We start from the raw sequence: 13439 nt of genomic DNA, 5'->3' as shown, positions 1-13439 counted from the left end.
CACAAATAAGTTGTAATATCAAACCCAATCCTCATTCACAGACCTGCTTCTGGAGTGTCTGGCACCTCCTCCACCATTTTATAGCAGGTGCCTCTGGTTGACAGACATGAAAGTGATCTGGTTTTGTTCCAGTGTAGGTATGTGGGAAATCTTTTTTTTTTTTTTTTTTTTTTTAGAAACTCTCCCCTAGGCTTAGCGGTTCTCTTTTTTTTTTTTTTTTTGAGACGGAGTCTCGCTCTGTCACCCAGGCCGGAGTGCAGTGGCACAATCCCGGCTCACTGCAAACTCTGCCTCCCGGATTCACGCCATTCTCCTGCCTCAGCCTCACGAGTAGCTGGGACTACAGATGCCCGCCACCATGCCCGGCTAATGTTTTGTATTTTTAGTAGAGACGGGGTTTCACCGTGGTCTCGATCTCCTGACCTCGTGATCCGCCCGCCTCGGCCTCCCAAAGTGCTGGGATTACGAGCGTAAGCCACCGCGCCCGGCCAGTGGTTCTCTTTTCTAGCCACAATTTAGAATCATTTGGGGGAACGTATAAAAAGAGATGGGTCAGACTCCATCTGAGACCAATTTAGGAATCTCTGGGAGTGGGCTGCATTTCTGGATCTTTCTACAATTCCCTAGGGGGTCCTAACACATAGCTATGGCTCAGAGGGACTCTGAAGACCCTTCCAGCTCTGAGCAGCTGTGATTTTTGAGGTGGGGGAGGAAAACTGGCATCAGCGTGTTGAGAGGGACAGTGGTCTGGGGGTGATTTCATCTTCAGAGCAGTTGGCAGACTCACAAAAATGCTCTTTCCTTTTGGACTCCCTGTTAGCATATTGCCCTGTTCCCTTAGCTTGTATTCATCTAATCAATCAGCACGGAAATCAAGCCATGATTATGTTAATTGTCACATGCTCCTTTTCTTTGTAGTAATACTCCTGGCATTTTACATCAGGAAGGAACTGCAGGGCAAGACCTATGCAGGGATGCCTGTCTCTTTTTAAGGCCAGGGAACCTAAGAATACAATGAAAGTTAAGCAAACCCTCTCCACGTAAAAAACATGCTAGTATCTATATGAGCACATGGATTTTGCATATAGCTTTTGGGGCTCTCAGAAGCTCGGATGCTTTTCTGTACTTTCAAGGACAGCCATTCCTATACTTTATTATTTTTATTATTATTATATTTTGAGACGGAGTCTCGCTCTGTCACCCAGGCTGGAGTGCAGTGGTGCAATCTCGGCTCACTGCAAGCTCCGCCTCCCGGGTTCACGTCATTCTCCTGCCTCAGCCTCCCAAGTAGCTGGGACTACAGATGCCTGCCACCACACCCGGCTAATTTTGTGTGTTTTTAGTAGAGACGGGGTTTCACCGTGTTAGCCAGGATGGTCTCGATCTCCTGACCTTGTGATCCGCCTGCCTCGGCCTCCCAAAGTGCTGGGATTACAGGCGTGAGCCACTGCGCCTGGCCCCCTGTACTTTAATGATGGGACTCACCCCCAGAGTTTCTGATTCATGTCCAGGGTGGGCCTAATGCTTTGCATTTCTAATGAGTTTCCAGGTGATGCTGGTGATGCTGATTCGGAGAGGATACTTGGAGAACTGCTGCTCCAGGACAAAAGCAATCAAAAGACAAAAGCCTCTTATTTTGTCTCCCCCTCCTGTTTCATAGATAAGTGGGTTCGGGTACAGAGAGTCCTCACACAGCAAGTTCATGGCAGAGCTGATAAAGTTAACTCCTTTCCAGTCCAATTCGATCCAACTCCATTCGCCAGCTACAAGCAAGGTGAATGAGACAAGGTCTCTGCCATTGACTTAAAGATACATAAATGATAAGGCTGAAAGCCAGAATGTGATTATTGTCAAAAGAAATAGTCAAGGAAATATCTTCGTAATTTTGGCCACGGTGGAGGGAGGCACTCGGGAAGAAGTTGCCAGAAGTCATTGCATTCAAGCCTTGCCTAGAAGGAAACTTGGAAGGTAGGAAAAGAACTGCTTGCCGTTGAACATCTGCTGTTTGTCTCTGGATGGTGCTCGCTGCTTCATATGTATTTTGCTATTTAGCCTCATTGACTTCTCACAACAGTGGAGTGATGTACCAAAGAGGAAATCAGATGCTGTGTTCTCTCTGGTGTTGCACAATGTGTGTAGAAAGAAGCCCTGTGCTGTTTTGCCCTGGGTTTGTGTTTATGTGAAGATGTGCTTCCTTCAGACGCAGTGAAGTGCTTGAGTAAGTGCGTTGCCAGAGCTCCCATCTTCCGAACAGAGGACACCATTTTATTACGTAAGCCTCTGTGGTGGAGCAGGATGAACTAATTACCAGGGTGACAGCTGGGGACTGCAATTGCAGGAGGCTGGCCCAACTAGAGACTCCACTCTCTCACTAGAGGCCAGTAGAGGGAGTAAATCCTTTCTACCCCACAGCAGCCAGGGCACTAGTGGGCCAAAGATAGTGGTGAAGAAACGCAGGAAGCAAATGCATTGGGTACAAGGCTGACATTTTAATTTCATTCCCAGGAAGTGGGCGACAGGCATGGACACCTGCCTCTCAGGAGGTGTAAGAAGCATAGCCTCTGCTTGAGGGATTCAACTCGAAGTCATTTGACAGTAGGTTTGGGGGAGAGAGGACAGGAAGCAGACTGGAATAGAGGAAATACGCCAAACTTAGGCTGTGTCTCTTGTCGTCAATATTAAATAATGGGCACCCTCGACTTTGTCTTCTCAGATTTGGCAGAAAAAAATTATTTTGTGCTTTTATTAGGGGTTTTCTCCACGTTGAGGACTGAGCTTGGAATCGCAACATCAGAAAAATCGGAGAATAATGGAGAAAGCACTGAGCCCTGAGAGCCAGGCCATTGGGTCTTGTTCTGCCCCAGATTCTGGTGGGACATTGGGCAGCCCATGCCACCCCCAGGGCTTCTGCCCCTGTCGAGTTATCCCTCAGAGCTTCAGGACTCCAGAATTCCACAACTCTCTAGGGCAGAGCAAGGCGGCCTGGGTAGGAACAATAGCGAGTAAAGGTGGGTCCCCAGGAACAGCGTGTGCCTTTGAATTCGGGTTCACATCACAGGCAGAGGCAGCCTTTCCGTGCCTTCAGTAGCTGAGCCAGTGCATTCAATTAGAAAGAGAACAGACTGAGGGGTCAATGAGATGTGAGTGTGAATCCTGGCTCTGCCACTTACGAGCAGGCTATTTGATCTTGCTTATCTTTCTTTTTCTCACCTGTAAGTGGAGAAGCCTGCAAAATAGAGATAATAAGCACCTACTGTTTAGAGTTACTTCTAGGATTAGATGAAACACGTAGACACAAATTGTGCACAGTGCCTGCCAGAATACCAGGTGTTCAATTAAGGGTAGGTACTGCTGTGGCGGTGGCTGCTGCTGCCGCTGCTACTATTAGTACTGTTGCTACTACTACTACTACTAATACTACTACTACTGCTGCTGCTGCTGCTGCTGCTTACCACTGCTGGAGTGCCTACTGTGTTCCAGAAATTGAATTACGGAGTGGGAATAAAGTGATGTGTTAGGAATATTCCTTGCCCTTGGGAAGCTCCCGATTTGATAATATTGTACAGACAAGCGTACTCATCAGTGTATGCAGCTGACTGTGACACAGCCTATCACATTGAGACAAAGAAAGTGCGCTGAGAGTTTAGAGATAGAAGGTGTTTTTGAATGGGGCATTGTACAAGCCTCCTTGGGGAAGTTGCCTTTGAGCCTCGATGGGATTTACATAATGAAGGCATTGTAAAGAAGAGGCAACCCACCCATTCAGCAACCACCCTCTATCCTTACCTCCCTGAACACACATGGGTCACGTGTGGCCTGCAATGCTTTCATTAGGATGAATCTTATTTTGATCTTCCCAGATTACAAACACTTCAACCAGGTCACTTTTCTCACATGGCATTCAGTTCAAAACACATGAAGGAGGCAGATAAATAGGTCATCGGCATTTGACAGATCTTGTTTATTTCTCTGTTGGCCAGGCTATTTGGTTACTTATTCCCTGAGGAGTCCACAGAGAGCAAGGCAGGGGCACCAGAGAGAGTTGGGTTGTTGGCCCAAGTCTCCCGCAGCCACCGAGCGGGACAGCTGGGCACAGGAGGCACTGAGCAGCATGTGGTTCTCTGCTCTGGTTTTATGGTTCCATGTCTGGGTTCTTCAACAATTTACTTTTGGAGTCTTCAGTTAGTTCGTTCATCCATTTGTTTATTCAACAAACATTTACTGAGCACTCACTAGAGTTACTCCATTTAATAGGTTGCGCACAGTGATGGTTAATATTAGATGTCAACTTGATTGGATTGAAAGATGTCTAGATGGCTGGTAAAGTATTTCTGGGTGTGTCTGTGAAGATGTTGCCAGAGGAGATGGACATTTGAGTCTGTGAACTGGAGAGGAATACCCACCTTCAATGTGGGTGGGCACCATCCAATCTGCTGCCAGTGCGCCTGGAACAGAGCATAAACACCTACTGTTCAGAGTTACTTCTTTTTTTTTGAGACGGAGTCTCACTCTGTCGCCCAGGCTGGAGTGCGGTGGTGCGACCGGCTCACTGCAAGCTCCGCTTCCCGGGTTCACACCATTCTCCTGCCTCAGCCTCCCAATTAGCTGGGACTACAGGCGCCCGCCACTGCGCCTGGCTAATTTTTTGTATTTTTAGTAGAGACAGCGTTTCACCGTGTTAGCCAGGATGGTCTCGATCTCCTGACCTTGTGATCCGCCTGCCTCGGCCTCCCAAAGTGCTGGGATTACAGGCTTGAGCCACCGCGCCCGGCCTAGAGTTACTTTTAGGATTAGATGAAATACGTAGACACAAATTGCGCACAGTGCCTGCCAGAATAGCAGGTGTTCAGTTCAGTGTATACAGCTGACTGTGACACAGCCTATCATACTGAGTCACAGCTGACTGTGACACAGCCTATCATACTGAGTCACAGCTGACTGTGACACAGCCTATCATACTGAGTCACAGCTGACTGTGACACAGCCTATCATACTGAGTTACAGCTGACTGTGACACAGCCTATCAGCCTGTCATACTGGAAGAAGGTGGGATAAGCCGACTTGCTGAGTCTTCCAGCCTCCATCTTTCTCCCGTGCTGGATGCTTCCTGCCCTTGGACATCACAATCCAGGTTCTTCCGCCTTTGGACTCTTGGACTTATATCAGTGGTTTGCCAGGGGCTCTCGGGCCTTGGGTCACAGACTGAAGGCTGCACTGTCGACTTTCCTGTTTTTGAGGTTTCTGGACTCAGACTGAGCCATTACTGGCTTCCTTCTTCCCCAGCTTGCAGATGGCGTATGGTAGGACTTCACCTCGTGATCGTGTGAGCCAGTTCTCCCTAATAAACTCCCTTTCATATGTACATTTATCCTATTAGTTCTGTTTCTCTGTAGAACTCTGACTAATACACATCCCTTGCCCTCTTAGAGCTGGTGGTCTAGATGGAAAAGAAAAATACAGATAATTATAAAATGTGAAAACACAAAATGAGAAATGCCCCCGTTTCTCTGAGTGTCCAGAAGGGAGCGCCTCGCCCAACCTAATGGGGTAGCCTATGGAGGGCGCTCGATGCCGCCCCCTGCAGGTGGTAACCGGCACTTCTCCTGGGTCTCCTCTTTCCATTGCCCTCTGCCTTGCTGGGCACGCCTCCCCCCACCCTCAGGCCCTGCTGTGTCTAACATCCCATCAGGTGTGACAGGGGGATGGGGGGGACAGGCATGCTTCTCCCCTGAACTTCGATTTTCTCAGCTGTAAAAAGGCAATGTTGAGCTCCAGTGTTGACTTTTGCTCCCCGATTCCTTTGAAACCATGATTTTGATCATTATTCTGCTCCTGTGAAAACAGTTGTGTGGTTTTTGTACTAACGTGAAAGTTTTCCTCAAAGTGTCTCGTTTCAGTTCTAGTGAGAAGCTGGTTCTGGGGATAGTGATACTGCCAATGTGGCTTTAAGATTCTCCTCCACCCCCTATTGTTTTCTTTTCATGCATTTCAGTGAAAGGCCAATGACAGGTACTCCTTCAAAGTGGTGGGAGTCACATGGGAGCAGCTTTTCCTGAAGTGCTGGGCCAGGTCCACTTTGTCACCTGGGGGTGTCTTCTGAACACACAAGGCTGTTATCAACACTCTTGGAAAATACTTTATATGTATTTTTCATTTGGCTTTACCAATTTCTGGTTTTTATTTTCAACATGTTTCTTTCTTTTTTTTTTTTTTGCAAAGCTTATTTCACAAATTTAAAAAAGTCTGGATGTAGCATGTAGAGATCCTGTGACATTCAGAAGATGCTAATACTGACTGAATTTAACCATCTTCTGCAGATGGAATTGCTTGTATTATCATTAAAAGGCTTGGCCACCACTAGAAAATGGGTTGCAAAATATTGTGGTTGGCCCTTACACGCTAGGACACCCTGGAGAGGCCAAGACACTGTATGTAGAAGGTCTTGGTTTGTTCTCTTATTTTTTCATTTTTTTTTTTCATTCATCAAAGCTTCTTGCCACAAATTGCCTTTCACTGGGATGGGTCTTTGCCATTGGTTCAAACTGTGCCTTTGCTGTCTCTCTTCTTTTAGCCTAGCTTTTATCATGGGCTTACCCATGTGACTGCCTATTCTTTGGTTCCCTGACAGAACATTCTCACCTTGTTTATTTTCCTCAGAATGGCCAATGTGCTCTAATAATAACTATTTGTGTGGATTTTGTTGGAACCCCTTCTTCTCAGACTTTCTGGCTTTGAGATTCTGTGTATTTGATTAATTACCTACCAATTCCAGTCTGAATTACCTCCTTATAAACTTATTACCATTTTTCGATACTCCTCCCCTTTTCCCAACCTCCCAGAAGCTCAAGTTTCAGTCTTGTGTTGATGATTATAATTTTGATCAGGGAATAGGTCTCATTGCCAATGAGCAAAATTCCCAGGCTGACATTTAAGACAGGAAGCAATGCTTCAGACCATCTCCCTGGCCATTTTCCAATGTTTGCACAGATATTCTACACATGGGTCTACATATACAGAGCTTCTCTCTGTGTGTATCTCTCTGTTTTTCTCTCTCCTTCTCTCCTTACTTCCTCTTACAGGAAATATTAGACATAAAAATGTGAGGATTAGGCCAGGTGCAGTGGTGCAAATCTGTAATCCAAGCACTTTGGGAGGCCAAGGAGGGTGGATCACTTGAGGCCAGGAGTTGGAGAACAGCCTGGCCAACACGGTGAAACCCCATCTCTACTAAAAATGCAAAAATTAGCTGAGTATGGTGGCGCATGCCTGTAATCCCAGCTACTTGGGAGGCTGACGCACAAGAATCACTTGAACCCGGGAGGCAGAGTTTGAAGTGAGCTGAGATCATGCCACTGCACTCTAGCCTGGGTGACGGAGTGAGACCCTGTCTCAAAAAAATGAAAGAGAAAATGTGAGAGTTGGAAGGGAAAAAGGGATGATTGCTATACGAACTAAGCACTCCCATTTTACAGAAGAAAGAAGAAAATTCAGGAAGCTTGGGAGGTAGTCACAAGACAGCTTGAGTGACTCATAAAAGCTCAGTGGTGCATTTTCTGGTGGGAGGCTGTTATCGCGAGAGGACAGCCAGATCCCATGGGTGTTTCCAAGCATGTCACTGCTGTTCCCAGCATGTGCTTTCTTGGGCATTGTCCAGGGTCCATTCCTGCTTGTGGAACTGTCCTTCCACAGCACATTTAGTCTTTTTTCAAGGTCAATGTTTTCAGGAGCCATCACTGAAGGAGAGAGCTAACTCTAGTCTGATTCCTGGTAGAGATGAAACTTGTGAGGGCTGTGGGCTGTGTATTTAAAAATGATGAATTAAGTTTAATGAATATTTCCTTACTAGATTTCTATCCCTATTAAGTATTTTGCAAGATTTTTATTACTTCCTAAGAATCTAAGTTATTTCCCCTCATTTTTCTTGCAAAGGATGAGTTCAGTATTTCAGCTGTTCTCATTTATTGTTAATTCTCTTTTCCTCGTCATTTATTAGAAGATCCATTTTTCTCTGTGGTTTATCTTTTTATCCCTTAAAGTGTTTATAAAATCCTCTTTAGCTCTTTTACCACTTAAAAAATTACCCTTCCGATTTTTTTTTTTAAAATTACCTGAGTCTTTCTGGTTTGGCCTTTAGCTGAAGAATAATCAAATTTTCTCCTTTATTCTGATTCTTTTTTATTACTAAACTCCTTTAAACTTATAATTTTTTGAACTCTCTCTGCTAAAGCTATAATGACAGTTTCTATTTTTACCCAGTCTGGTTGGAATGGAGCTGCAATTCCATTTGATTATGGAATATACTTTTATTGAGCACCTACTAACTAATCCATGTGAAGTGACTGTCACAGTGCCAGGCACACAGTTAGCACTCAATATATGCTGACATTATTGTTATTTCCAGGCACCATGCTGTTGACCCTAGGGTTACAAAGATGGACAAGAAATGAGCTGTGCCTGTGCTTAAACCTGGCAGTGACTTTCCCTCACCTCCATGGGAATTTCAAGTCCTTAAGATAGACCCCAAGGCTGTCAGTGCAAGTCCCTATCTTGTGGACCTCAAGTATCAGCCACTACCCCCGTAGCCATATGGAATTACAAACTTGGCATAGATATTCAGGTTCAAGCCTTTGCAGATGGTTAGTATGGAATGATTTCCTTTTATTTCCTTAATCCAGTGTCACCTCCTTTCACAGATATTTCCTGATGCTGTGTCTCCCCTGAAGTTCTTCTGCTTCCTTTGTGCTAGTTACTATGCCCTGTGCATACTTTGTTCTTGAACTTATCATGCCTTGTGCGACTGCTGAAAAATTTCTTTCTCTCCTTCTCTTAAGAATAGGACTTCACCTTATTCAGATCTGTATGCTCCAGTGCCCATCTTGCCATTCAGAAAAGTTTGTCAAATTAATACTGGGCATAATGGAGTTGTTATTTTAGAAGTAATGAACTTATTGGGTGATATAGAAGAGAAGGAATTCTTTATAGGTGCGGAGATTTGGGAAGGTTTCCTGGCATTTATAACCAAACCATAACCAAACCATAAAGGATGAATAGAATTTCAGTGGTGAAATTTCACAAAGTAGGACATAGCAGATGAAAGGAATACCTGTACAAAAAAGGCAAAAGTGGTAAAAATCTCAGTTTCCTTTTTTTTTCTTCTTGGAACAGAGTAAGCCTTTTAATACAGCTGAAACAGGCACATTTAGTGGGAAAATTGATATGTCATTCATGCCTTTTTTCTGTCTTCAAATATTTGTTGAGCATGCTTATGCATCTTGCACTGAATACTTAGAAAGGTGGAATGGATCATGGAAGGCGTGTTTAATATTAGGCCAGGGAGTCTCATGGTGAGAGAGAAAAGCAGCTGAGCAAATGGGTAGGTCTTTTTCTTTCCTGAAGAATTGGCTAGAACCAGTCAAAAAAAAAAAAAAGCATGTGACTTAAAATCGACTTCGGAACTCTCATTTCCATTCTTTCTAACCACTTTTTGGATGTCCTTTTGTTCTAATGTTATCTCCCCCTCCCCTTTTATAACTGCTCTCCTGGAGCATCTAGCAATAGTCACTGATCACTGATGTCTTAGTAAAGATTCTATGAACCCTCTCTTTCTTGTAAGCCAACTTTTACTTTGTGGAATGAATTACTTTGCTCCCTGAAAGCAGTCAGCAGGTGAGAGAGCCACAAACTTGTAGATGTGTTTCTTTTCTTAGGCTCCTGAAATCATGGGCTCCAGGTGGCCCGTTTCCCAGGGTAAAAAATAATTTCAGGAGCCTGATACCTGAGGCTGGGAAAAAAAAAAAAAAAGTTGTGACCTTGTTTTTTAAAGGACCCTGAAAGAATGGGCAGAAGTGTTTTGAAAACAACAACCACACAACCAGTTCCAAGTTAAATTGGTTATGATCACATCAAGTCATATGGTCTTTTAAAATATTAGACTGTAAAATCAGCAATGTTTTTAAGGCAAGCTCATGAATGGCCTATCAACACAGTTGCTAGTTAAATGGGTATGGAAAATAATCTATCTGAAGAGCCTGTGCTGAGCTTAACAACATTCTAAATGGCAGCTGCTGCAGATGAGCCAGCCACAAATTTAACCCTTCTTCATTTTATTTAACCAGAAACTAAAAAATGATCTGGACTAAGGAAAATTATTTATGTGTTCATTTAGTCATTTGACATTTATTTAGTGAAAAGGTTCTGTGTGCAAAACACAGGCTAGTATTACTCATGGACTTCAGCCATCTGGACTGCTGTGGGCACAGGTCTCTGAGGCCTCTCTGGGCAGCTTTTCTGTCCCCACCTCTTCTGTCTGGGCTGGGCCTGGGACTGCTTTACTGCAGAATGTGGAGGAAGTAATGTTCTTGGGCTTTGAGTCCAGGCATTAAGAAAACCTGGAAGCTTCTGCTTCCTTCCTCTTGGATCTCCTGCTTTTTGGGAACACAGAGCTGCCACCTAAGAAGTCCAGCCACCCTGCTGGAGAGACCACTGGGGGAGGAAATGCCTGGCCACCCTAGTTTCCAGGTGGAGCTTCCAGATGAGACCCATTTAGCCACCATATGACTGAAACCACATGAGAGACCCCAAGTGAGGCCCATAAAAGTTCCCAAACTACAGAAACGTAGACACAATAGTTCCAACTAGAACTCAAGCTACAGAACCATAGAGACAATAGTAAGGTCCAGGTTCATTTTTACACTGCTGATAAAGACATACCTGAGACTGGACAGTTTAGAAAGGAAAGAGATTTAATTGAACTTACAGTTCCACATGGCTGGGGAAGCCTCATAATCATGGTGGAAGACAAGGAGGAACAAGTTCGGTCTTATATGGATGGCAGCAGGCAAAGAGAGAATGAGGAAGACATAAAAGCAGAAACCCCTGATAAAACCATCAGATCTTGTGAGACTTATTCACTACCAAGAAAACAGTGTGGGGGAAACCACCCCCAGGATTCAGTTATCTCCCACTGGGTCCCTCCCACAACATGTGGGAATTATGAGAGTATAATTCAAGATGAGATTTGGGTGGGGACAGAGAGCCAAACCATATCAAGTGACTTACTATGCGGCTTAGAAACACAGAATAGCTCTTCTAGTCTGAAACCCTCTCTTTCTCTCTCCTTTCTGCCATTTGTTGTTTTTAATGGGTATAACTTCACATATGGGTCCATTTCATAATGACTAGCCATGGGAAATTGATTTCCCTAGCACCTCTCAAGTCTTACTAGGAAAAGCTACCCTGTGTCTCCTTAGAAACACCAACATTATTTTTCACCTTTTCAAGGAAGAGAGAGGCTTTACATTTCCTAAGGATCTGCAAGCACATGTTAGCATTTAATGTGAATTAGCTGATTAAATCCTCACAAAATCAATAAAAAGGCAGTCCTTATTTATCTCTAGTTTATAAGAAATATAAGCAAAGGCAAATTAAATTGTCCAAGTTAGCGGAGTCTGTAGGCCATGGAAAGGCCTTTAAGCCTAGGTTCTTCTGATTCTAAACCTGGAACAAATTTCAGCAGACCAAAACTCCTACTATTTTGAACAAACACTGGGACCCTCCTCAGCATTGCTCCCCACCTCACTCTGGCCCAGCCAGGAAAGTGTCCAACATCAAGCCTTAGGATGTGCTATGAGGGCAAATAACCCCCAGTCTTCCCAGGAGCCAACCGTGTCCCTCTTATAATGGAGGCCCAGACAGTTCCTCCTCACTTCCAAAGACCACAGTCTCATTGTTAACCACCGCCTTCTTAATAAACTTGTCATCTCCTGAGAATGGAAAGATCCCTTCTGAGGCCAGAAATTCAACATCCTTGCTGCTGATGAGATGTGATGTCTCAACAGGAGATGCTGCAAAGAGGAGCTGATGTGCTGAGATGCTGGTGCACACTCCCTGGCCAATATTGTGTGCTGTCTTTGGAAAAAAAAAAAAAAGCCAAATGTAGAAACACATTTCTGAATTAGTACTTCCTCAACCAAAATTATTCTGAAGCTATAGGGGCATTAGACCAGGGTGAAGACAAGAGAGAGGACAATCAATATTTCATTATAACGTCCTTGGGGTTTACAAAGCAATGGATATGGGAGAGGGGAAGCTTTTGAGAAGAAAAATGGTGCATATAAATGGCTTGGTAAAATAAGTGTTTTCACATTTTACCTAGAGAAAAACACAGTATACATTTTAGCAGAGAAAAGTGGATATTTAAATAATTTATCAAACTTCTCTCCTTAGGGGAAATGCCTAGAAGTAACATCTCCATAGCGCTCTAAAAAGGAATACATTTTTAGTTTTGATAAGGAGAAAAGCACCAAAAATAAGAAAGGCAGGAAAAGACAGCTGTGAAAATACTGAAGCAGGAATCAGGAGACCTGTGTTTGGTTCCAGCTTTGCCACCTGCTCGCTGTGTGATACTGGGCAAATTTCTTCCTTCTTCCTGGAGGCCTTCGTTTTTCCCATGTGTAAAATGATGGAAAAAAAAAAAAAGAGGAACGGCTCAGGCTTTTAGGGGCTCACGAATTACTGCTCCCCTCCCCTGACAGCCACAGAAGCTCCTGAGATATTTCCATGCAGCTCTAGTAGGGGCCTCCAACTAGGACTTGCGAATCTCTGAACTAGAGGCTCTTCTTTTGCATTCAGGTTATGTGATCAAATGTTATGCAAATTTTTAACAAAAAGTAGAATATTTACATTAAAATGCTTATACATTATCAACAGAGACATTATGGTAAATGAACAATAGTTGTTCACGGTGATTTGTTCCCCAGCTGTTAAATACCAGCTTCTTCTTTGCAATGGCCTGCAGACTTCTTCACTCACTGGCCTGGGCTCCCTGTCTTCTGTACCCTTAACGAGGCCCTCAAAGTCCAGAAAGAAGGCGGTAGCAGCTGCAGTACTGATGTACAGTCAGTGCTCCTGGTTTTGCAGGGCTATGATTACAACACAAAATCTCAGGGAAAAAAAAAATGGCAAGAGAACTCTGCAGTGTGTTTCTTAGCAGCTAATTGGTTCCTTGCGCTTAGGATCGGCTTCCAGATTTATGCTATGGAGCCATTCCCCCCATAACACGGAGGAAGGAAGATTTGTTCAGTGTGGGGGCGTAGGAGGGAGAATGACTAAGGGAAAAATTAAATTGCTGTGAGAAACAGAATAAAACCGCTCTTAAATTTCAAGCAGTCAATTATCAAATTTGAAAAAGGCTTAATACACATACTAGTTTGGCATTTGGAATACAATGAACATTGATATTATTAATACATTACATAGCGTATTGGCTGAGCTGAAGAAAGGCCTCTAATATTTTGAGGGCAAAGTGAGGCTCTACTGCCTTTCCTGCTTGTGTTAAAGAGCCTCCCTGGAAACTGGGCCAGTGGACTACTGAGATTGAGAAATAGGGGCCGATTCAGGTAATTTGTACTACGTGGTTATGGGCTCTCTTCTCCCGGATT

The 13439-nt window shown here is 44.1% G+C and overlaps 1 protein-coding gene across 1 annotated transcript in view, besides 1 other annotated feature; it reads left to right on the top strand.

The window, feature by feature from the left end:
* NBAS (NBAS subunit of NRZ tethering complex) overlaps positions 1-13439 on the top strand; it is a 782426-nt gene that overhangs the window by 651794 nt on the left and 117193 nt on the right. The gene's annotated exons all lie outside the window — the stretch shown is intronic.
* Positions 5493-5542: a silencer, noted in NCBI's record as "silent region_11184". NCBI's record gives its function as "represses an Ori minimal core promoter by ATAC-STARR-seq in GM12878 lymphoblastoid cells {active_cell/tissue: GM12878}" and the evidence as "EXISTENCE:reporter gene assay evidence [ECO:0000049][PMID:35858748]".

This window comes from Homo sapiens, chromosome 2 (assembly GCF_000001405.40).
Source record: "Homo sapiens chromosome 2, GRCh38.p14 Primary Assembly".
Taxonomy (NCBI): Eukaryota; Metazoa; Chordata; class Mammalia; order Primates; family Hominidae; genus Homo; species Homo sapiens.
Note: the sequence above shows the minus strand (reverse complement) of the source record. Positions and strands in the feature narration are given on the sequence as shown.